The sequence below is a fragment of the Homo sapiens genome, chromosome 11, assembly GCF_000001405.40.
Source record: "Homo sapiens chromosome 11, GRCh38.p14 Primary Assembly".
Classification (NCBI taxonomy): Eukaryota; Metazoa; Chordata; class Mammalia; order Primates; family Hominidae; genus Homo; species Homo sapiens.
This window is the reverse complement of record NC_000011.10, coordinates 100,859,919-100,885,874: the sequence shown is the minus strand read 5'-3', so window position 1 is coordinate 100,885,874 and position 25,956 is coordinate 100,859,919. Positions and strand designations below refer to the sequence as shown.

Below are 25,956 nucleotides of genomic sequence, written 5' to 3'. Positions count from 1 at the left end.
ATTTACATTATGTAATTCAACCTCTGTCTACCTTAACTTATAATTTCATTTTGGTCATCTTATTTTGAAATATTTTATTATTAATTCTTGCAGTTGCATTCATATATATGCAATAAAATTATAAAAATTTGGTCTGAAGTTAACTTGGGAGTTATAGCTTCCAGACAATGATCCATTTCTTTTGTTTCTTACAATTAGCCAACATATGTATAGTATTTGATAAATCAATGACAAACATGATAAATAAATTTTCAAAAATATAATTTTGCAAAATCTCTTTATGAATTAGACTTTAGAATCCATTTCAAATTTATACAGACACATAGTCAAAAGCAAATAATTGGTTTTTAAAGTGAAAGAAATTATAAAAGGCATCCGATACCCCAGTGGAAAAAAATGGGATTTAAACTGATTCCATGATAAATGGAATTTGACTCTTTGCTTTGCACAATTTTTAAGGCAGTAAGGGAAGTGCTATATAAATAACCTAAAGAAATTGTTGACAGGGAAGATTCTTTAAGATTCAACAGAAGAAAATCAACTCAGTATAACCTAACCAATACACTTAGTTCCCTAAACTTTCTGGCTCTAATTGAGATACCCAATCGAAGCGGCCCAATATTTTAACTGTTTAACTCAATTTGTCCCACACCCTGTCAGGCATAAAGGGAAAGTGGCTGCTAAACTGTTTACTTTCCTCAAACTAGTGCCACAGGGAACAGCAGAGGAGTAAGGGCTTTGGGGTCAGATCGGAATATACATGCCAACTCCGCTAAATACTATCTCCCCAATCTGTGACCAAATTAGGCCATTTTTGGATGTTGCCAGTTCTAATCTGGCAACTGGGTATATGCCACATGCTCACTGGGGAAGAAAAGGTGTTCTGAGGTTAGTCTCCCCCTGCAGCCACATCTCAGGCATACGGTCAGGAGGGAGCAGGCAGGGAGAATGGGCTGGATTTAAATCTGCAAGGACCCTCACCCAAATGATTCTCAATTCAAATGTTTCCTATTTTCACTGCCATTGACCACCCAGGCTCTCTATCTACTTCTGCAGATACCCTGGAGGAGAATACCTAAGAAGAATGTGAAAATATTCTGAAATACGAATGATAAATTTCATTACGGTAAAATCATAAAGAAATAAAAGAATTGACAAGGGAGTAGACAGCAGGGTAGTGGGACGGGGTTGGGGGGACACGGAGGCAGGAGACAGCAGCTGAACTAAATATCAGGAAATGTGCCACGAAGCTCTGCTTTGCGTCAACAATGATATTTTCATGTTGGTGACTTCATCATTACATGATTTGATTTTGACTCTTATTTATCATTTTGTACCAATTTGCTAGCTAGTGAATGAGTCCTTTTGATGTCTTTTGAGTTTACTAGATTTACAGTATTGTTTATTAAAATAAATTCCTAGTTACTAAGTGTTCGCCCCCAGTTAATAAATACAACAGAGTAAAAGAAAGAATGCTACACCAAGACCTCAGATTGAATTTTGGAACAGTTAAGAATTGAAAGACTGACGTGGCTTATTCTAAACCAACAGCAAGAACAACAACAACAACAAAAATACTTTATTGCTTTTAAAATAGTTTTATTTTTAAATTGCTGTGGTTGCTACCCATTTTGCTGAAACAGTAACTTGAGCAACTCAGTGACTAGAAAAAAATCAGCTGACAGCAATCCCAGACTGATAGTTTTTTTGTTATGAAACTACACAGAGAAATAATGAGGATCCAATGGGAAGACCACATACATTGCCATAATCACATAGTACAAATGAAAAGAATGAGTGGGGGAAAATCCACTGTGTGCGGTCTTATTCTAATTATGCCTAAGGTAGCATGACTCATAAAATGAATTTTAAGGATGAACACCATGCACAGACTGTTGTCCTAATTATTAAATTCTAGCATTGAATTGCTCAGCATTGTCCAGACATGATAAACTGTCCTGGATACCAACTTCTAAAAATACACTACAGTCTGAGAACCACATTCACCTCTGGAGCTATTCTAGCATCCAACAAAGAACCAGGGAACCCCTCTACTTTCCTTCTTGTGGACCCAAAGCACTAAATCTGTCCCTATTTCTGGTATATTTCATTTGCAGTCTTCTCTATAAAGTTCTCCAAAAAAGGCTTCTAAACCCTTTAGTTTTCAGAATTTTACAATTAATAAGACAACAGATATTTTATATAACAATATCAACATTTTTACTGTGTTAAGGTCAGGGATGGTGGCTCACACCTGTAATCCCAGCAATTTGGGAGGCCAAGGCAGGTGGATCACTGGAGGTCAAGAGATCACGATCAGCCTGGCCAAAATGGTGAAGCCCCATCTCTACTAAAAATACAAAAATTAGCCGGGCATGGTGGCGGGCACCTGTAATCCCAGCTACTTGGGAGGCTGAGGCAGGAGAATTGCTTGAACTCAGGAGGCAGAGAATGCAGTGAGCCAAGATCACACACCACTGCACTCCAGCCTGGGCAACAAGAGCAAGACTCTGTCTCAAAAAATAAAAAACAAAACAAACAGAAACAAAACCACATTTATACTGTGTTGCTGTGTGCCAGGCACTAGGGATATCAAAAATGAATAAATAATCTGTCCTTCAATAGCTCAGTTGAAAGATGAACACTGGCATGTACAAAGATAAATTACAACCCAGCTTGAGGCTGTGTGTTGAAAGAGATGAGGGTTCAATGACTGTAAAAGTCCACAGAGAAAGAATCCAGGATAAGCAGCAGTCTGGTGATTCCAATCCAAAAGATCATTTTGAAATTGAAACAAAAAACAATACAAAAGATAAATGAAACCAAAAGCTGATTCTTTGAAAAGATAAATAAAATTGATAGAACATTAGCAAGATTAAGACGAGAGAAAATCCAAATAAGGTCAATTAGAAATGAAATGGGAGCTATTTTGACAGACATGACAGAAATACAAAAGATCATTCAAGGCTACTATGAACACCTTCACATGTATAAACTAGAAAACCTAGAGGAGATGGATAAATTCCTGGAAAGATACAACTCTCCTAGCTTAAATCAGGAAGAACTAGATACCCTAAACAGACAGATACCCTGAAGAGAACAAGCAGCAAGATTGAAATGGTAATTATTACCAACAAAAAAAAGTCCAGGACCAGACAGATTCACAGTTGAATTCGATCAGGCATTCAAAGAAGGATTGGTACCAATCCTATTGACACTATTCCACAAGAGAGAGAAAGAGGGAATCCTTAAATCATTCTATGAGGCCAGTACCACCCTAATACCAAAACCAGGAAAGGAAAAAACCAAAAGAGAAAACTACAGACCAATATCCCTGAAGAATATAGATACGAAAATTGTTAAAAAAAAAAAAAATACTGGCTAACCGAATCCAACAACATATCAAAAAGCTAACCCACCATGATGATGTGGGTTTCATACCAGTGATACAGGGATGGTTTAACATTCACAAGTCAATAAATGTGATACACCACATAAAAAGAATTAAAAACAAAAATTACATGATTATCTAAATAGACACAGAAAAACCATTCAACAAAATCCAGCACCCCTTTATGATTAAAACTCTCAGCAAAATTGGCATACAAGGGACATAGCTCAACGTAATAAAAGCCATCTATGACAAACCCACAGCCACCATAATACTGAACAGGAGAAAAGTTGAAAGCATTCCTTCTGAGAACTGGAGCAAGACAAGGATGCCCACTGTCACCACTCCTCTTCAACATAGTGCCGGAAGTCCTAGCCAGAGCAATCAGACAAGAGAAAGAAGTAAAGGGCATCCAAATTAGTAAAGAGGAGGTCAAACAGTCACTGCTTGCTGATGATATGACTGTATACCTAGAAAATCAGACTCCTCCAAAAAGCTCCTGGAGCTGATAAAAGAATTCAGCAAATTAATGTACACAAATCAGTAGCTCTCCTACATACCAACAGCGACCAAGCTGAAAATCAAATCAAGAACTCAACTCCTTTTACAATAGCTGGAAGGAAAAACAAACAAACAAACAAACAAACAAACAAAAACTAACAAAACAACTTAGGAATACACCTAACCAAGATGGTAAAACACCTTTACAAGGAAAACTACAACACTGCTGAAAGAAATCATAGACAACACAAACAAATAGAAACACATTCCATGCTCACGGATGGGTAGAATCAATATTGTGAAAGTGACCATAGTGCCAAAAGCAATCCACAAATTCAATGCAATTCCCATCAAAATGACACCATCATTCTTCACATAACTAGAAAAAACAATCCAAAAATTCATATGGAACCAAAAAAGAGCCCACATAGCCAAACCAAGACTAAGCAAAAAGAACAAATCTGGAGGCATCAATTAACTGATTTCAAACTATACTGTAAGGCCATAGTCACCAAAACAGCACGGTACTGGTATAAAAATAGGCACATAGACCAATGGAAAAGAATAGGGAACCCAGAAATAAACCCAAATACTTGCAGCCAACTCATCTTTGATAAAGTAAACAAAAACATAAAGCAGGGAAAGGATGTCCTATTCAAGAAATGATGCTGGGGTAATTAGCAAGCCACATGTAAGAGAATGAAACTGGATCTCACCTTATGTAAAGATCAACTCAAGATGGAAGAAGGACTTAAATCTAGGACCTGAATCTATAAAAATTCTAGAAGATAACATCAGAAAAACTCTTCTAGAGATTGGCTTAGGCAAGGATTTCATGACCAAGAACCCAAAAGCAAATACAAAGAAACAAAGATAAATAGCTGGGACTTAATTAAACTAAAGAGCTTTTCCATGGCAAAAGGAACAGTTAGCACAGTAAACAGACAACCCACAGGGTGGCAGAAAATCTTCACAATCTATACAAAGGACTAATGCCCAGAATCTACAATGAAGTCAAACAAATTAGCAAGAAAAAAAAAATCCTATCAAAAAGTGGGCTAAGGACATGAATAAAAAATTCTCAAAAGAAGGTATACAAATGGCCAACAAACATATGAAAAAATGCTCTACATCACTAATGATCCAGGAAATGCAAATCAAAACCACAGTGTGATATCACTTTGCTCCTGCAAGAATGGACACAATCAAAAAATCAAAAAATAATAGATGTTGGCATGGATGCAGTGAAAAGGGATCACTTCTACACTGCTGGTGGGATGTAAACTAGTGCAACCACTATGGAAAACAGTATGGAGATTCCTTAAACAACTAAAAGAAGAACTACCATTTGATCCAGCAATCCCACTACTGGGTATCTAGCCAGAGGAAAATAAGTCACTATATGAAAAAGATACTTACACACACGTTTGTAGTAGCACAAATTGCAATTGCAAAAAGGCGGAACCAACCCAAATGCCCATCAATCAGTGAGTAGATAAAGAAACGGTGGTATATATATACAATGGAATACTACTCAGCCATAAAAAGGAATGAATAGCATTCGCAGCAACCTGAATGAGACTGGAGACTATTATTCTAAGTGAAGTAACTCAGGAATGGAAAATCAAACACTGTATATTCTCACTTATAATTGGGAGCTAAGCTATGAGGATGCAAAGGCGTAAGAATGACACAGTGGACTTTGGGGACTTAGGGGGAAAGGGTGGGAATGGGGTGAGGGATAAAAGACTACAAATTGGATACAGTGTATACTGCTTGGGTGATGGATGCACCAAAATCTCACCAATCACCACTAAAGAACTTACTCATGTAACCAAACACCACCTGTTCACTAATAACCTATGGAAATAAAAAAATTAAAAGAAAAACATTTATACTGTGTTGCTCTGTGCCAGGCACTAGGGATATCAAAAATGAATAAATAATCTGTCCTTCAGTAGCTCAGTTGCAAGATGAACATTGGCATATGAATAGCAAAATTATAAACCAGCTTGAGGCTGTGTGTTGAAAGGGATGAGGGTTCAATGACTTTAAAAACCCACAAAGAATCCAGGATAAGCAGCAGTCTGGTGATCTGAACCCAAAAGATTTTCATTTTTAACTTTACTCCTTTTGCCAAACGACCCTCTCACCTGAAAACCATAATGAAGACAGAGAAGAAATGATCAAAGAGGAAAACTACAAGAGACCCAAGGGAAATATACAGCGGAGAAGCTGAAGAGAGGAGGCAGTGGTGATTAGGGACAGTGAAGAAAGGTAAGAACAGGGTAGATGAGGCAGGGAGGTCGCAGCTCACAGGGTATAGGCATGGCAGGCAAAGTCTATGTTGTAAATAATGGATGTGGGTGTCGGAAGAGGAACCAGAAAAAAAGAAATGACAACATCCAATTTTGCCACCTTCTGTCCCAAGAGAAACCCACAGTGACACTGATGAGTACTATCTTTAGCCAACAGACAACAAACAAACAAAACCCACCAAATAAAGAATGAATGTCCTTCCCTGAAGGGTTTTACAGTTAGAATCTAGCTAGAGAAGATGGGTGGTACAGGTGGAGAAGTTCATATGTGCAAGGAACTGATTGACAGTTAAGCACAGACGGGGTGACAGATTATTTAACCATTCTGTTATCTTTCTAGTCACTCAGTACTTCAAAAACCAAGGATAACCCCCCAAATAGAGAGGACCACATTACTCTCATCAGAGATGTGGATACCAAAAAAGTGATACAGAGCAGTGCTTCTAAAACTTGTATTATGCATTTGAATCAACTAGGAGTCTTGTTAAAATGCAGATACTGATTTGACAAGCTTGAAGTGGGACCAAAGATTCTGCATTTCTAATAAGATCCTAGTTGATGCTGCTGGCCCCAGACCATATTTTTTTGAGGCATTATTAATTTTTTTATTAAAATATTATCTACCTCAAACTAAACCACACTAAATATTTGTTCATGTCTTCTTTCCTTGAAAAAAAAAAAATTGTTCATGTCTCCTTTCCTTGCCTAAGCTAATCTCTAGAAGAGTTTTTCTGATGTTATCTTCTAGAATTTTTATATACTATATACATATATATATATGTAACTCCCCAAAGAATAAGCTTGTTTCCTTGTGTTTTAAGCAAGTCCATGGAGGCATCTTTCATTAGATGCCAGGAAGCAGTGTTGTAATGGGTGCAGATAGGATTTCAAGCAGAACATGTGCAAGATAAAATGAAAACATAATATAATTTGGCGGGGAGAGGATGCTCTTGCCACTGACTTACTCATTTCTCCTCCTCTTCCCTTTGCTCATTTTCTAATCTCCGCATGTCCCCTGGGATGAGAGCTACTTTTATGACCTCAAATGAGAGAATGTGGTATTTTAGTTTAAGTTAGAAAGAAAGCACTTACTTTAGGAAACCACTTTCCTTTCCCTCACCCACAAACAAATGAAATTAGATTTTTAAAGCAGGTCCCTGGGAGAAAACAATTGCTGAGGAATCTTTCTAAGCATTAGTAATTGGACCACAGTTTGATTGGTAAGGGTACAGAGGACCTATTCCCTCCTACTACCGCATGGAGAATGGGTGACTCGGCAGAGAGGACCAGCCAAATCGTATCAATATAACCCAAAAGGAAACAGTTGAAAGTGAGGCCTAGGAAAAGCTGGAAATAGAAATAGAAGGAATAGGCCGGGCATGGTGGCTCACACCTGTAATCCCAGCTACTCGGGAGGCTGAGGCAGGAGAATCACTTGAAACAGGGAGGCGGAGGTTGCGGTGAGCTGAGATTGTGCCATTGCACTCCAGCCTGGGCAACAAAAGTGAAACTCCATCTCAAAAAAAGAAAAAAAGAAATAGAAGGAATAGGAAATTGGCATTTATTACCATTTTTGTGCCAGGCATTCCCATATTCATATGTTAAATCTCACAACACTTGAGGATAGGTAACACCTCTTTTTTTTTTTTTTTTTTTTTCTGGGACAGAGTCTCGCTGCGTCACCCAGGCTGGAGTGCAGTGGTATGATCTCGGCTCACTGCAATCTCCGCCTCCCGAGTTCAAGTGATTCTCCTGCTTCAGCCTCTCGAGTAGCTGGGATTACAGGCATGTGCCACCACGTCTGGCTAATTTTTGTATTTTTACTGGAGACGGGGTTTCACTGCATTGGCCAGATTGGTCTCGAACTCCTGACCTCGTGATCTGCCTGCCTCAGCCTCCCAAAGTGCTGGGATTACAGGCGTGAGCCACCGCGCCCACCCTGGTAACACCTCTTAACTGTCACAACAGTTAAGGAGCTGTCCTGAAGTCATCAAGTTCACACACAGCAGAGCCAGGATTCAAACCAAGTTCTCCTTGACTTAAACCCTGTGTTTTTTCCTCTGAAACAACTGAATCTCTGGAAAGCCAGACTCAAGATACAGACAAATCTGAGGTAGGAATTTTACAGAAGACATGAGAAACCATAGTCTTTCATTTACAAGCATGAAATGCTACTGGTCATTAAAGAAAATGCAATTAACAGAATCTATCCTGAAAGTGTAATATACAGAGTAAACTTACATGAGCAAAGAAGTATAGTAAAGCACACATGGCCACATAAATTTGCTTCCCGTAGGAGTCTTGTATTTCAAGGCATAAATTAAACTCCAAATTCCCCAGAGGCTAAGTAAGGTAAGCAACATAAGAGACAAGAAAAGATATACTGGGAATATTTTAAGTGTCACTGCATCTGAGCTTTAGTTTTCAAAATGGAACTCTATTGTTTCTGATTTGATTTACTTCCTAGAACATCAAGAAAAACTGAACAAATACTATTTAATACTCCAATTCTAACAGATTTTTAAAAATACAAGAATTTGGCTTTAAGAGACAATACATCTCACAATGAGCTCACCAGTATTACCAGCTGGGACCAGTTAACCACATTTACCAAATAAGGCAAGTTTTTTCAATGCCTGAAATCTTTCTACAGTGAGCTCACTTCACTTCTCACTGGGTTTCTACAGTAATTGTAGAGGTCATCTCTCCAACTCAGAGTCTGTAAATCACCAGGCTCTTGATGCAAACGTGGGTTGCATGGTCTCTGGAGAGCATTAAATTTGGCTTCAGATTATTACTGGCTGTATATAGAAGAGAAAGACGTAAAATCAACTCTAAATACAGAACAGTAAGAAGCTGTATTAAGTGAAACCTATTAATAAAGTCAGTGAGCTGTTTACTATGATGAATATAAATGGTAGAGCTTACCAGATTTCTCTCAATATATGTGTTCAGTTGCAAATATATTGCTTGCTCTAGGGCTGAGTCTACACAAACATACCCACAGATTTCAATAATGTTGGCTAACAAATGAGTTCACTTATCTGCACAATCCCAAGGAAACAAAATAATTTTTTCTTTTTAATTGGCTGATTTTGTATAAAGTAAAAGCAGTGCATACAGACAAATCCGTGATGAGATTCACCACATTCTTACTTAAAATAACAAATGTTGTTGGGAGGATGGTTGTCCACCATATTTAGCAGTTCTGAAAACTAAATAAAAGCATCTGATTGTAAAGTGTTTTTACCTGACCTTCTCTTAAATATTTAAATACGTCCAACTACAGAAGCAAAAAGGATTCTTTATTTTTCTCTTCTATATTGCTTGTGTGCTAAGCTATAGCCCTAAACTAAGAACGTATATATTTTCTTCAAAGGTAAAAGGTTTCCATGAAAATAAAAATACTTGAAATAAAAATTTGTGGTGTCTGTGTTAAGAATATTATTTTCAGCCACAAATTTGTTCAAGGTCAAATTCAAGTTCATCTTGCTGTAAATTCTGTGGTTTTCCAACATAGGAAGCCAAATTATCAAACACATGTTATTAAGTTTGTGCTACCAGAGAAGGTATTTTGCAAAGGTAAGGACTGAAATTTGTTTCAGGTCTTAGTCCAGTGAGTGGTGAGCAAATTTTTTTTATAAGGAATCAAAGAGTTAAGCATTTTATATTTTGTGGGCCACATGCTCTCCTACACAACCACCCAACTGTGCTCTTGTAACAAGATAACAACCACAGAGAACACATAAACAGGTAAGAGACACTATATTCCAATAAAACTTTATTTATGGACACTGAAATCTGAATTCTACAGTTTCCGCTTGTCAAAAAATGTTACTCTTTATTTACCCTCTTTATGCTACTCTTTAATTACCCTCAGCTGGCCCTGTCCAGTCACCCCCCGCCACCCTGGACGTGGCCATGTCCCTCTGCCACACCCCAGGCCCTGTGACGGGCCACTGAGAAGAGCCCACTGTGGGATGGGGTTGACCTCTGTTGCCTGCCTGGGTATCTGGGCCTGGCCACCAACCGTGTTCTTCATGTGTTGATTTTATTTGACCCCTGGAATGGTGGGTCTCATCCTTCCCGTCTCGGCCGAGAGTGGCTGAGGGCTGCCTCACTGCAAACCCTCCCCCCAGTGTCAGTGATGGTCATCCTTGTCTCAGAATGACCAGGGTCCAGCCAATGTCTGACCAAGGTCAAGGGGCAGGTGCAGGAGTGGCAGGGATGGCTCCGAAGCCAGAAATGCCTTAAATTGCAACGTCCTTTCCCCATCCCCACCCCTAGCCCCAGCCCTAGCCCAATCCTCCTAGGAACAGGACCTGATAAAGCGGATGGTGGGAGGCTGGGCACCGGGTTACTAACTCCAGTACGTTCCTGTGTTGATCACTGTGAAATAAAGTCTGAAAACTTTAAAAGCAAAAAATAAATAAAAAATAAAATAAATAAAAAATCAAAGTGTAACAAAAAATAAAAAATAAAAATGTAACAACCATTCATAGTTCATGAGCCACACACACACACACACACACACACACACACACACACACACACACAGAGAGAGAGAGAGAGAGAGAGAGAGAGAGAGAGACAGTGGATTAGATTTAGTCAGCAGTTTGCCAACCCTTGCCTTAAAACATAGAAATTAACATTTGCAAATCAGGATGGAAACAAAAATCACCCTTAACTGCAGGGTAGAAAACTCATCCTGAGGTAAAAGAGAACAGAGTCATCTGAGTCCTGAGATACGTGCTTTGAGCTGGTAAGTAAGAACTGTTAAAGACAGCACAGAAGACACTGGATTCACTTTCTCCTGTGCCACACTTCTTTTGGGGACTGGATAATAACAGTGGAATTCACAGATGGGGCAATAAGCCTATCCTACCCAAAGGGAAGGAAAGGAATACATTTTAAAAAGGAAAGATACGGTAGACTGGAGAACTAATCTGGCACAAAAATAAACACATTACAATTCCAGAAGCTGCAGAATCAAGGCAGAGAATGAAAAAGGCAAAAGGTGGTGCCCCAAGGAAACAGGAGGACCAACAAAGAGGCTCATCTGTGAACTCCATGGAAAATACGGGGGCTCCAGAAGTCTGCCCTTCACTTGATGGTATTCAGTGGGAGCTTACAGTCAAAGACCTTTGCGATCTGACACAGGCCCGAGGTGTCCACACCTGCTCTCCTGCTGGTATTGTGTTGTAGTTTCCAAGCCTTGAATGTCTGGCAGGTAACAGACATTGACAGTAAACAAAATTTATCACTGCTATGGTCTGGATGTAGTTCGTTACCACCAAAACTCATGCTGAGGTTTAATTACCAGTGTAGCAGTCCTGGGAATCAGGGCCTAGTGGGAGGTGTTTGGGTATCTCAAGAATAGATTAGTGCTGTCTATTGGGACTAGGTGAGCTCTCACTGTCATGGGAATAGATTACTTCCCACAATAGCAGGTTGTTATAAGGTAAGACTCCTTCTCCTGTTTGGTCCCTTTTTTGCACAGACGTCCAGCTCTGAACATCCGTATGTATGACACAGCACAAAAGCCCTTGGGAGAAGCCAGTGCCATGCACCTGAACATCCAAACCTGCAGGACCATGAACCTCTTTTCTTTGTAAATTACTCCAACTCAGGTATTCTGCAACACAAGACAAAGACAACTATGAACATTCTAATGTAAATAATTATTAATTATTGGCTGGTGGGTGGTTTCTCAGCACCAGCCTTTCACATTGCTCATAAGCTGTCTTCTTGAAATGCAGAGTCAAGACTGGACTGCCCTCATGAATATAGTATGTGGTTGAGGGGCATGTGCCTTAGAGTTAAACTGCCTGCGTTCAATCCCTGCTCTGGTAGTTACTATCTGTCTAATCTTAGGCAAATTACATTGCCCTTTCTGTGGCTCAGTTTACTCATTAGTAAAAAGAGGCTGAAAATAATAGGCCCTACCTCATGGATTTGTTGTAAAGATTAAATAAGTAAATATATGTGAGTCATCTAGAAGACTGCCTGACAGATGTTATTAATACCAATTATATATATCCTGATCTTCATTATTATTAAACAAAAAACTGGATGTGACACAAAACTCTCCATTATTCTACCCCAGCTGGCTATTTCATGCCTCATTTCTCACTAATTCTGCCTTCATCCTCCATTTACATACACATGCTAAACACTGGCCTGGTATTTACTCATACCGTGGGTTATATAACACACTGGTAGGTTATACAATGAGTTTCATGGGTTAGAATCAGCATTTTTTTAAATGAACTAAATTAGAGTAAAATGCAATAGAAAATACCACAATACATCCCTTGTAGAAACAGAAGTATGTTAGCACATATACTTGCTAAATTGTGATGTAAAATGTATTTCTTAATGCGGTTCATTCTCCAAAAAGAAAGAAAAAAAGGCTAAATGTAGCAGCTGCAATCATACCCGTATATATCAAGCTTCTAAGCCACATCACAAATTTCAAATTTTTATACCACTATGTCACTTCCTTTCCCTGTCTTCTCTTTTGCCAGGGATGCCATTTTCCCCTGTGCTGACTGGAGAATTTCCACCAGTCTTTATATTGCACCTGCTGGATGGTAGAACTATACAGGGATCTTTGTCAGCCTCCCCTGGTTAGCCAGAGTGAGTTGTTCCTCCCACTGTGCTTGAAAAATATGATGGGCATACTTCAGGTACATCAGTGATGCCTTTCAATTATAATTATTTATTTCTCTGGAGTTTCTTCTGCTACAATGTGTGGTCTGTGAGGGCAAGCATCATATATTAGTTTTGCATCCCCCAATGCTGAGGAATGTGCTTGTTACGAAACAGATCAACACCATTGAATCGAATGTTTTTGTATCAGTGACAACATGAGACAGATGATGGCATGCTAATCAACTTTCTCCTGACTCAAGACTGGGAAAGGAGAATGAGGTAGAAGGGCAGATCCTGTCCATATATTAAAATCATCAAATCTACATGCTAAAAAAAATCTCATTAATCTCAGCACTTTGGGAGGCTGAGGCGGACAAATCACCTGACGTCAGGAGTTCCAGACCAGCCTGGCCAACATGGTGAAACCCCGTCTCTACTAAAAACACAAAAACCAGCCAGGCTTGGTGCAGACCTATAATACCAGCTACTTGGGAAGCTGAGGCAGGAGGATTGCTTGAACCTGGGAGGCAGAGGTTGCAGTGAACTGAGATAGCACCACTGCACTCCAGCCTAGGTGACAGAGCGAGATTCTATCTCAAAACAAACAACAACAACAACAACAAAAACTCATTAATTTGGAAGAAAAAAAACTAAAACATAGTAAAAAGTCTCACCAAAAAGTCTACTAGGCAAGGAAAGGATCAAAAAGCTGTTCCTTAAGGGGCTGCTGAGATTTTATTTTCATCTGAATAAATAATATGACATGAACAATAAGAAGATAAATAATTTTACTGATCAATATAAATACACTATTTTTAAAAATGCTATAGTATCCAGATACTCTTTGGGGGCTTCATATTCAATTTTGATTGCTAAATTACAACAAGAACACTGAAAAATAGGAGCCGTCTATAGAGAACAAGAGTTAGGTAAATAGGAACAATGTTATATTAAGAATAAATGAACCAGGCTGGGTGCAGTGGCTCACGCCTGTTATCCCAGCACTTGGGGAGGCTGAGGTGGGCGGATCACCCGAGGTCAGGAGTTCGAGACCAGCCTGACCAACATGGAGAAACCTCATCTCTACTAAAAATACAAAATTAGCTGGGTGTGATGGCACATGCCTGTAATCCCAGCTACTCAGGCGGCTGAAGCAGGAGAGTTGCTTGAACCTGGTAGGCAGAGGTTGCGGTGAGCCAAGATCGTGCCATTGCACTCCAGCCTGGGCAACAAGAGTGAAACTCCATCTAAAAAAAAGAACAAATGAACCTAACAGTGATGTTCAGCAAATGCTGACACTTCCTGGTAGATTCTAATCCTGGCAGCTTTGACAAACGTGTGCTCAATACATTTTGTTCATAGAATAAACATGAAAATTGTATGTATTTCTGATGTAACAAAAAGTTTTAGTTAATTTTTATACTGGAAACAGGCTTTTTTTCTTTTTTCTTTTTTTTTTTTTTTTAAGAAACAGTCTCCCTCCGTCACCCAGGCTGGAGTGCAGTGGCGCAATCTCGGCTCACTGCAACCTCCACCTCCTAGGTTCAAGAGATTCTCCTACCTCAGTCTCCTGAGTAGCTGGGATTATAGGCATGCCCCACGATGCCTGGCTAATTTTTGTATTTTTAGTAGAGATGGGGGTTTCACCAGTTGGCCAGGCTGGTCTCGAACTCCTGACCTCAAGTGATCCACCCGCCTGTGCCTCCCAAAGGGTTAGGATTATAGGTACGAGCCACTGTGCCTGGCTGGTTTTAGTTAATTTTTATACTGGAAACAGGCTGAGGTTTATAATTTAATTTTTAAATCTATAGACAGTTCTAAATGTTTGCCTCACTGATTCATAGTCTTTAGAGGGTTTCCAATTACTTCCATGTATATTATAAAGTTTTAATACTAATTTAATACATATAGAATGTTGGTGACAGCAGTAGGAACAACCCAATAAAACACTTAAAATTCAAATGCTGGTACAATTTATTTACAACAGTACCAAAGAATAGATTATAAGGTGTACAAAAGTATTCTATTACAATTCTTTGGAAAATCCTTTTTTTTTTTTTTTTAAACCTTCTTTCTTGGATCACTCTGATAATAAACTCTGATATCTGTGTTTTCTCAACAACCAATCAACAATTACAGAATAAAATTAAACATAGAATGGCTTAACTCACTGACAGTTGCCATTTTATCAAAGTTTTGTGGTTAACATCAAATGATGAGCACTACAAATCTACCGATTCCAAATGCTTGAAACATACTCCTGTTTGTATCTGTAACTTTGAACTCTAAAACATAAGTGTGAAATACAGTGTTTCCAATTTTATTGAGTACTTGTTTGTGTTTTCCAAGGAAGTCAATATCACGTTTCCTAAGTACTTTAGAATATTTCTCACCATTTAAGTTTGAAAAGCAGAAATAACATATAGCTTCTAAACCATTTCAAGGACTACTGGAAACCCAATGACCCTGAACAAAGAACCTATAAGTAAAAATAGTAATGCGTATAGCAATGTCAGGGCCAAACTAGGTATCATGAAATACATTTAGAATAAATTCTCTGTAGCAAATTCTTCTGCAGCAGGGCAGCCAGGGAAATGCGGTAGAGGAAAGAATGTATCTACAGATAAAAGCACGAACTCTTAAACCAAGAACACCACCTTGTTATGCAGAGAAGATACAAAGTTCACAGGGAAATTGTGTCCTATGGAGACGTTTCAAGCAGAGCTTAACTCCTCACTATTGGCCCTACTGAAAGCAAGAGACCTAGAAAACTTTCTTCAGTCAATTGAGATTTCTCCCTCCTCCAGATTTACTAAAAGTAACTGGATCTATTACAGAGAAGACTTCATTGCTAGAAAACAGGCTGGACTCTCATTCAAGAGGGTTGATCACTGAAAAATGAAAATAATCTTATTGTATAGCAAGATTTCAGTCTCAAGATCTTTCACATAGATGTCAAGAATGACATAAATGAGGCTCCACTGTATTGCACAGTCAATAACTATTTATGTATGGCACTTGTAAATAGTATTAACTTAAAAAAAATGCATACTTGACCTAAAAATGTAGTAAGAAGATCTTTTGGAAAAATACAATTTTGAGGGAAGCTTCAAACATTTCTTAAGTATTGGTCTTTAGGCATCAAAATAAGGAATCATTAGGAGGGTAAAATAGTGAAATCTTATCTACAATGTAAGTACCATCAAATTATAAGAGATTATTTTCCTATCTAAGCACATAGGAACCACTTAAAGCTATGATCATCTATACATGGATGGAGGTATGCATACATTTAATATATAGTGATATACATGTATTGATTTGAATTAAAAAACTTTCCAATAGAATGGCTTCTTGATTATGTTCCTATCTACAATTCTAACTCTATGGGATTCTCCTGCCTCAGTCTCCTGAGTAGCTGCTCAGCATTTGCATTGACTGGCATGGAAACATGGAATGCAGAGATAACTACTGACTAACAGTTTCTAGGAAATGTCATTTGGTTTGTTTCTCCATTGGTGTTAATGGAGTCAGGGCTGATACCTCACAAGGACGTTGTAAAGATAGAGAAAACACACTATGAACTACAAAGAAAAAAAAAAAAAGAGGAAAGATTTACATTCCTTTAAAGGATGCAGGGATAGTATAGTGCCCAGATTATTGAATTAAGTATTAAAAGACTTGGATTCAAATTTCACCTACAGTATATATTCACCTCTTGGTGGCTGGCAATGCCCCTTCATCTTTCTGTCTGAAAAATGATGATACCTTCTACTTTATAAGAGTGCTATATCTAATAGTGTTCCATAAGTTGTATAGTGTTATTAGTTATAAGTAATGTTCATCTAGATGCCTTCTTGCTAGGTACCCCTGTGAACCCCACTTTATCAATATTCAAAAACCAACACAGATTTGTTGTTGTTGTCTCCGTGCTGATTTTTGAATATTGATAAAGTGTGACCATGAAACAAAATAAGGCAAACTAATCTACATGCATGATTACTTCATCATTTTTACAATGATACTTTAGTTACACTGACAGAAAGTATATAATAGCAATAATTATGAATAATTATAAAATAAAAACAATTAACATTTTAGTACTTACTATGTGGAAGAAACTATGCTAAACAAATTATGTGAAATGTCTAAGCTATTTCAATCCTATGAAGGTAGTTTTATTATTTTCTCCATTTTTCATATGGGGAAATTAAAGCTTAGATAAGGCAACTAGAATGCCCAAGTTTATACTTGCAGTAAGTGCCAGGGTTTGATTTCAAGTTAAGATAACAATATAGAACTTGCTGCTAATATTATAAGACACTATCTCACTGTCCAAATGAGCTCATCAGTATTCCTTAAGAAGCATTTTTAAGAAGAAGAGGAATATCTTCTGTGCACCAAATGTGCTATTAAAGAACTGTATGTTTTATCTCATTTCTGTTTAAAATCTGACTCTACTCCTTACTAGTTAGATTACCTTGGTCCATTTGATTAACTTCTTTGCACTTCAGTTTCTTTACCTATAAAATGAGTTTAACGGTTATTTAATAGGCTGGTTGTGAGGATTAAGTAAGTTTACAAGTAAAGTGCTTAAGGCAACATCTGGTTAACTAAAATAAAGGATCAAGTACTATTATTGTTAAAAAAGATGATCAAATAAAGTGAATAATTCTGCAACCTTATATACATCAGTGCCACTAACAGAAGTTATAACAAAGGGAACTACAAGTAAAGTCATGCCTCATTTATTACTCTGTTTTACTGTACATTAGATATTGCATTTTTTTACAAATTGAAGGTTTGAGGCACCCACGTGTCTGGAAAGGTTATTAGTGCCATTTTTTTAAACAATGCTCACTTTATGTCTCTGTGTCACAACTTTCTAACTCTCATAATATTTCAAAGTTTCTGATTATTATTATATTTGTCATGGTGATCTGCAATCAGTGATCTTTGACACCACTATTGTGATTGTTCTGGGGCTCCATGGTCTCACACCTATATAAAACAGTGAATTTAATTGATAAATACTGCATGTGTTCTGCCTGCTTTGCTAACTGGCCATTCTCTGTCTTTCTCTCTCTCTCTCTTCCAGCTTCCCTCTTCCCCGACACACAATTAGGCCAATTAGTAACCGTACAATGGCTTCCAAGTATTCAACTGAAAGGAAAAGTCATATGTCTACCATTTCAAATCAAAAGCTAGAAATCATTAAGCTTAGTGAGGAAGGTATGTTGAAAGCTGACAGAGGCTAAGAGCTAATCCTCTTGTGCCAGTCAACCAAGCTGTGAATACAAAAGTTCTTGAGGGAAATCAAAAGTGCTACTCCAGTGAACACACAAATGGTAAGAAATCAAAACAGACTTTATTGCAAATATGAAGAAAGTTTTAGGGGTCTAGATAGAAGATCAACCACAATATTCCCTTAAGCCAAAGCCTTATCCAGAGCACGGTCCTAACTCGCTTCAATTCCATGAAGGCTGAGAGAAATAAGGAAATTGCAGAAGAAATGTTTGAAGCTAGCAGAGGTTGGTTCATGGGGAAGAAAAGTAGCCACATCCTAACATATACGTCTCAGGTGAAGCAGCAAATGCTGATGTAGAGGCTGCTGCAAGTTATCCAGAAGATATAGCTAAAATCATAGATGAAGGTGGCTACACCAAACAACAGATTGTCAATGTAGACAAAACAGCCTTCTCTTAGAAGAAGATGCCATCCAGGACTTTCATAGCTAGAGAAGAGAAGTCAATGTTTGGCTTCAAAGCGTCAAAGGACAGGTTGAGTCTCTTGTTAGGGGCTAATGCAGCTGGTGACTTTAAGTTGAAGCCAATGCTAATTTACCATTCCAGAAATCTTAGACCCCTTAAGATGTATGTGGAATCTACTCTGCCTGTGCTCTAGAAAGGTTACAACAAAGCCTGAATGATAGCACATCTTTTTACATTGTAGTTTACTGAATATTTTAAGTGCCCTCTTGAGATCTTTTGCTAAGGAAAAAAGGTTCCTTAAAATATAGTACTACTCATTGCCAATTTACCTGATCACCCTGATGGATATGTACAAGTAGATTAATGTTCTCTCATGCCTGCTAACATAAAATCTGTTCTGCAGCCCAGGGATCAAGAAGTAATTTTGACTTTCAAGTCTTATGATTAAAAAAAGGCATTTCATAACTGATATGGTTTGGCTCTGTGTTCCCACCCAAATCTCATGTCAAACTGTAATTCCCACTGTTGGAGGAGGGGCCTGCTGGAAGGTGACTGGATCATGGGGGCAGATTTCCCCCTTGCTAGTCTCATGAGAGTGAGCTCTCATGGGATCTGGTTGTTTGAAAGTGTGCAGCACTTCCCCTTTTGTTCTCTCTCTTCCTCCTGCTCTGCAATGTGAAGAAGGTGATAGCTTCCCCTTCCCCCATGATTGTAAGTTTCCTGAGGCCTCCACAACCATGTTTCCTGTACATGGCTGTGAGTCAATTAAACCTCTTTTCTTCATAAATTACCCAGTCTCAGGTAGTTACTCATAGCAGTGGGAGAATAGACTAATACAATAAGGCTATCATTGTCATAGACAGTGATTTCTCTGATAGATCTAGGCAAGGTAAATTGAAAACCTTCTGGAAAGGATTCAACATTCTAGAAGCCATTGACAACGTTTATGATTCATGGAAGAAGCTGATTCTAAGCCTTATGGATTACTTGGTGGGGTTTGAAGACGTCAGTGGAGGAACTTCCTGCAAATGTGGTGGAAACAGGAAGAGAGCTAGAATTAGAAGTGGAGCCTGAAGACAAGACTGAATTGCTGCAATCTCATGTCAAACTTAAAGGATGAGGAGTTGCTTCTTACGGATGAGCAAAGAAACTAGTTTCTTGAGATAGAATCTATTCCTTGTGAATACTGTTGAAATGACAACAAAGGATTTGGAATATTCCATATACTTACGTGATAAGGCAGAAGCAGTGTTTGAGGGAATTGACTACAATTTTAAAAGATGTTTTCTTATAGGTAAAATGCTATCAAAAAGCAATATCGCACACTCCAGAAAATACTTTCATGAAAGAAAGAGTCAACCTATGAGGCAAACTTCACTGTAGTCTTCTTTTCAGAAACCGCCACAGCCACCCCAGCCTTCAGCAACCACCACCCTTATCAGTCAGCTGCTATCAACATCGAGGCAAGATCCTTCACCAGAAAAATGAATGCAACTCACTAAAGGCTCAGATAATTGTTAGCCTATTTTAGTAATAAAATATTTTTAATAAGGTATGTACATTGATTTGTTGACATAACACTATTATTGCACACTTAAGAGGCTACTGTATAGTATGAATATAACTTTTACATGCTCTAAGAAATAAAAAATATGTGTGACTCATTGGGATATTTGTTTTAGGCCAGTGGTCTGGAACTGAACCTACAAAATCTATCTCCAAGGAAGCTACGTATATACAGATCTTTTACCTCCTTGGTTAACTTTGCTCCTAATTTTATTATTGCTATTATAAAGGGGATTGTTTTCTCAATTTTCATTTTGGATAATTTATTATTAGTATTATACTGGAAAGCTGCTTGTTTTCATTGATTTTGTATCCTGCAGCTTTGCTCAAGTTGACTGAGGCATTTGTAATACTTCTTAAATTCTCTAAGCCATTTTTATTTTGAGACAAGTTAGACTGCAGTCACTTTTCACATGACAGAAATCTAAGACTGAAACAGGAATTGTGACAACTATATATAGATTTTTTTGGATATTACATGCTTAATTAACTGCATGTATAAGGAATGTTTAAAAATAATAAACGAATGTTCAGAGACAGAAGCAAACTCTACTATGGACAGAACAAAGGGACCAGAATTATCAGTTTCCATTACAGTCTTCAACATGAAAACAATATAAAGAAATCAAGCTCTATTATAAAATGACTAGCAATATATTGTTGATTTCTATATACATACCACAGAAGAATGTTCATATGATTTTTATTAACGTCTTATTAAAAATAAAAACCAATGTCTCACAAAACATTTCTCATAGAAATAAAAATTTAACTTTTATGGGCAGTATTTCCCAAGTCTGTTATCTCTAATGAAACAAGTTACCATTAAGTGCCTACTGTGTACTGGGGACCCTGGACATCAAGGGGTATTTCAAAAATAAGGGAAACGTATTAACTATGCTTGGTTCAAGGGGTAAGTTTGGGCATATTTGAAACATTTTGATAACGAAGATATTTCACACTAAACCATTTATTTGTTAAAGGTAAAGAAAATGAAGTATTTCACAACAGAGTTGCTCTAGGGAGTAGAAAGGCTTCTGGTCTGAGGAACTGAGTTCTGATCTTCACTGGGCCACGTCTCTTCCCAGTTTGTTTCTGTATAATACACATCTATATGTGGAAGATGAGCCTTTGGCCTCCTTAGCGCAAGTTCCATCACTAAACATATGCAATGCTCTGGTGTGTATGTATGTTTATAAACATACATTTGTTTATCCACAGTGTATTATCTTTGATTAGAAACTCAGACATAGGCCAGGTGCGGTGGCTCACGACTGTAATCCCAGCACTTTGGGAGGCTGAGGCGGGCGGATCACTTGAGGTCAGGAGCTTGAGACCAGCCTGGCCAGTGTGAAATCTTTTCTCTACGAAAAATACAAAAATTAGCCAGGCATGGTGGCGGGCGCCTGTAGTCCCAGCTACTTGGGAGGCTGAAGCAGGAGAATCACATGAAGCCGGGAGGTGGAGGTTGCAGTGAGCCGAGATTGCGCTACTGCACTCCAGCCTGGGTGACAGAGTGAGACTCCGTCTCAAAAAAAAAAAAAAATCCTCAGACATAGAGCTCTATCTATACTTCAGAGTCAGCCGGTCTATGTAGCAACAGGCATATAAAGTGCAGAGAGGACTTAAAATTGATTCTCTCTGAGAACAAGGAGGTTTCCAACACGGTCATGGAAATGGAAATAGAGCTGTCAATTTATTCAAAAAGCATCCAAAAAAACAATTGTGATTCATCTCACTCTATATTATTTGGTTGATGCAAAAGTAATTGCAGTTTTTGCCATTACTTTTGCATAATGCTAATACGACGATTACAGATATATTCCTATAGTGGAAATTCATAGAGTTGACATCAAGTGTTCTGAATACCTGCTTTCCACTAGTATTCTAGAATTTAAACCAGCAGTGTGTCAGGAGAAACCAAACATTCAGTCTAAGCCTCTGACACATGTAATATGTCTGGCCTGTAACACAATTTCATTCTGAATATACCATCTTACTAAGAAACTTTAAATAAATACTTCCTTGACAACTGTTTATAGATAATTCTTCTAATCTCCAAGTATCTGAAACAGCAGAACCCATTTCCTTCTGTCCTTCAGTTCAACAACCCCATTACTAATCTTTTCTAATGCCTCTCACAGATGAACAATGCTTCTTTCCCACAACTGTAACTTACCAAGAGCCTCACTTTCACAGCAAAGTATCAGGTGTCTCAAAGTGCCATAGAATACACTACAAAGGAAATGTTTGTGGTCCATGGATCTTATCCACTGCAGTTAAGTAGTATCATCTGGTTGTTAGGCAAGGGCCACTTTGACTCAGCATTTTCCACTCTGCTTTGCCTGTGTGGACCAAGCTGAAGAGGTCGCTGACTGCAGTGGAAGATTCTACCTTTAATCAACGGCCCTCCCTTCCAGCTGGCTAATCAGCCCAAACATGCTTGTGGGAAATCTCCAAGGCAAAGGCTGAAAAGCAGCAGAGTGTCACTTGTAGAATTAACTTTATGCACCACATGAGAAAATACCTAAGTAAACAGGAAGTAAAGTAATAGAAAAAAAATAAGTACTTTCAAGTATGTTTATTTCACAATGCCAAAAGAAAATTGATCTATACATATATTTCAGAAGAACATGCCTTTTTTTTGTTGTTGTGTGTGTGTGTGTGTGTGTGTTTTGTGTTTTTTTTTTTTTTTTGAGACGGAGTTTCGCTCTTGTTACCCAGGCTGCAGTGAAATGGCGTGATCCTGGCTCACTGCAACCTCTGCCTCCTAGGTTCAAGCAATTCTCCTGCCTCAGCCTCCCGAGTAGCTGGGATTACAGGCATGCACCACCCCGCCTGGCTAATTTTGTATTTTTTTTAGTAGAGGATGCGGTTTCTCCATGTTGGTCAGAAGGCTGGTCTCGAACTCCCGAACTCAGGTGATCCACCTGCCTCAGCCTCCGAAAGTGCTAGGATTACCGGCATGAGCCACCACACCCAGCCGAACATGCTTGTTTTTAATTCACTATTCACTTTACTAAGCAAGAACTACTTGGCAGCTTAGAAACAATTTAGTACTAAATGCATCAGACAGATAAAATACACAGAATCACCACCACCAAAAAACTAAATGCAATAATATTAATGCTCAAGACCGGCTTCATTTCATCACAAATTTAACCTTCCAGTGAGCAGGCAAAGGCATAGTATACTGTCGGGTGTTCTCAGTTGATCTGTTCTGCAATTGAGATGTTTACAAAACAAAATAAAATGTTATTAAGACTCCTGCCACTGCAACTGTAAGATAACTTGAACCTCCAAATAAGAAAAAGATTTCCCAAACAGATGAAACTTACTCTTTTTGGGGGCTAGAAAACTTGGAATATGTGTACTAGGGAAAGAATTTTTCACAATGCTCTAATTCAATTTTTTATAAAAACACCATTGATGAAGTGAAAGCTTGTTAAGTCAAGGCTCTGAAATAAAATGGCTTCATCTGGGGAACATGTTGACTCTTTCAGATCAGCTCTGTGATTTGGTGCAAGTCACCCCATCATTTTCCTCATTTGTAAGCAGGTATAACACTAGTACCCACACCTCACAGTTTGCTGTGACTATTTAATTAGGTCACAGATTTTCACTGAAAGTCCCCGCCAATAAAAATTAGCTATTATTAATTTTGAAAAGACTCTCCTTGTGCTAGGATACCATGTTCTTGTCATTTCTTCTTTCTTTTGTTCCTTCCTTCTCAGCCTCCTTTCCTAACTTTCTTTCCCCAAACATCAAGTGTTGAGAGAGTTCTTTGGTTATAAACATCCTGGGTCCTCTTCCCGTCTCACTCTATTCTTTCTCAAAGGGATCTAATCTACTCCCATGATTTTAATAAGCACCTAGAAGATAGAATTCCCAAATGTTTGTTTCTAATTCAGATCCGAATACACACCTGCTAACTCAACATCACATGGATGTCTCAGAGGAGCCTAAATTTCACTCATCATGACTAAAAACTCAACTTACCATCATTGTCATCCAACATAAATGTGGCCTATATCAGTAGGTGGTTCAACAACCACCCAGTTATGCAACCTGAAATCCAGAGGGACATTCCCGAAACCTTCTCCTACTAACTTTCCAGTATGTAACCCACTTCTTACTGTTGTCATTTCACCTCTAAAATAGCTTTCATACATCTCCTTGTCCCCAGTTACTTTCACCCTCCTTATCTAAAGCCACTAACTGCCAGCCCCAAAACTGGTTTGCCCAGGTAGTCTGGCCTCCTATCCATGCATGATATGCATCTAGAATGACATTTAAAATACAAATATGATATCACTCTCCCACTTACGTTTCTATTGCTTATCACTGCCCTTAGGCTAGGGAGTAAAATACTGTGAGTCATTTATAAAGCTGCACACGTGGCCTCTACCTCCAGGGTCCACTGTGCTCCAAACATACTGGACTTTCTTCCACTAAAATGCCAGGCTCTTCCCTCCCCGACCAAGAAAACCTTCATTCATTCCCATATTCCATTCCCTTTTCTGGAATATTTGTAAGTTTTTTTCCCTTCCCACCATTGTGTCCCCTTTTTCTTCCTCATGACGTAGGTCTCTACCTAACACTTCTTGCAGAAGACATTTGTTGATTTCCTGGACAAGTTCAGATCCATTAATGATGCCCTTGTGAAGCACTTTTGCATCGCAATCCCCAATACACTTGTAATTACTTCTATGTCTGTTTTTCATGAAAGATAATAGGGACATACACACAGGAATCATCTCTGACTTGTTTACAGCTACATCCGTTCATCTTATCAAACACCATGCATGTCACGTGTGAGCCAACCATGAGACTGATAAATATTTGCTGAATTAATTAACATAAAAATGGTTCTGATTTTAGTCCTTCACTCGAAAATTGCTCACAATTGGTGGAGAAATGCACATAAAATTCTAATCAAGGCAAACTGTGTTAACTTCTTATGGGGAATATGTGTAAAGGCTATTCAATCCTAAGAAAAGGAAACCAAATAGGTTCTGGAAGGGGAACATCTGCATGAGAAAGGCCTATATAAGGAAGGGTTGTTTCTGGTGCTGGGATATGAAGTCTGGCAAGACTTCAAAAAGTAAAGGGTAAGAAGTATTCCAGAGAGAGGGAAAAGTTTGGGCAAAGACATGATTAGTGTCAGGTATATACAGAGCCGGGTGAACAGAAAACTGTGCCTGCTGGTGGGTAGCAAAGTTCAAAATTCCAAGTTGTGGAAAGCTTTCATTATCAAAATTAAACTGTCAAGCAGAACCACAGAAGGTTTCATCATTGGAAGAATGACATAATTGGAGATGGTGAAAATTTGTTAATATGTTAGAAGGAGGGTGTGGAGATCAATTAGTAGGCTATTTCAAATATTTCAGACAGACGTAAAGAGGAAAGGAGTAGAAATAATTCTGCATTAGAATGGACAGCACTGCTCAAATGGGGAAGGGATACGACATTGACTAAAAGGAAAACTCAAACAGGGTAAGAATGAGGGAAGGATGGGAGATGATTAGTTCTATTTTAGAAACCTTAAGTTTTATATGCTCCCATGATGTTGCACAAGTGGTTAAAATATGGCTCTAAGAATGAGGATACAGGCAAATTTCAGATGATGAGAATCAGAAAAAATTTAATTGGTCCATAGTCAATTAAACATTAACAAAAAGGGTTTGTGACAAACATTTCTAAATTTTTTCAGAAACACATATTTTTATTTATAAAAAATACAAAGAATATTAAAAGTTCTCATATAATCACTGCTTGAATTTTCAATGTGCCCTGTGCCTAATTTTTATTTTAT

At 38.2% G+C, this 25,956-nt stretch overlaps 1 protein-coding gene and 1 long non-coding RNA gene across 6 annotated transcripts in view; one reads left to right on the top strand and one right to left on the bottom strand.

Annotated features, from left to right (window-relative positions):
* ARHGAP42 (Rho GTPase activating protein 42) overlaps positions 1 to 25,956 on the bottom strand; it is a 306,654-nt gene that overhangs the window by 108,067 nt on the left and 172,631 nt on the right. The gene's annotated exons all lie outside the window — the stretch shown is intronic.
* LOC105369457 (uncharacterized) lies at positions 19,785 to 20,130 on the top strand. Its single transcript, XR_947949.3, has 2 exons — positions 19,785 to 19,869; positions 19,971 to 20,130. It is a non-coding gene; the product is annotated as an uncharacterized LOC105369457 (long non-coding RNA).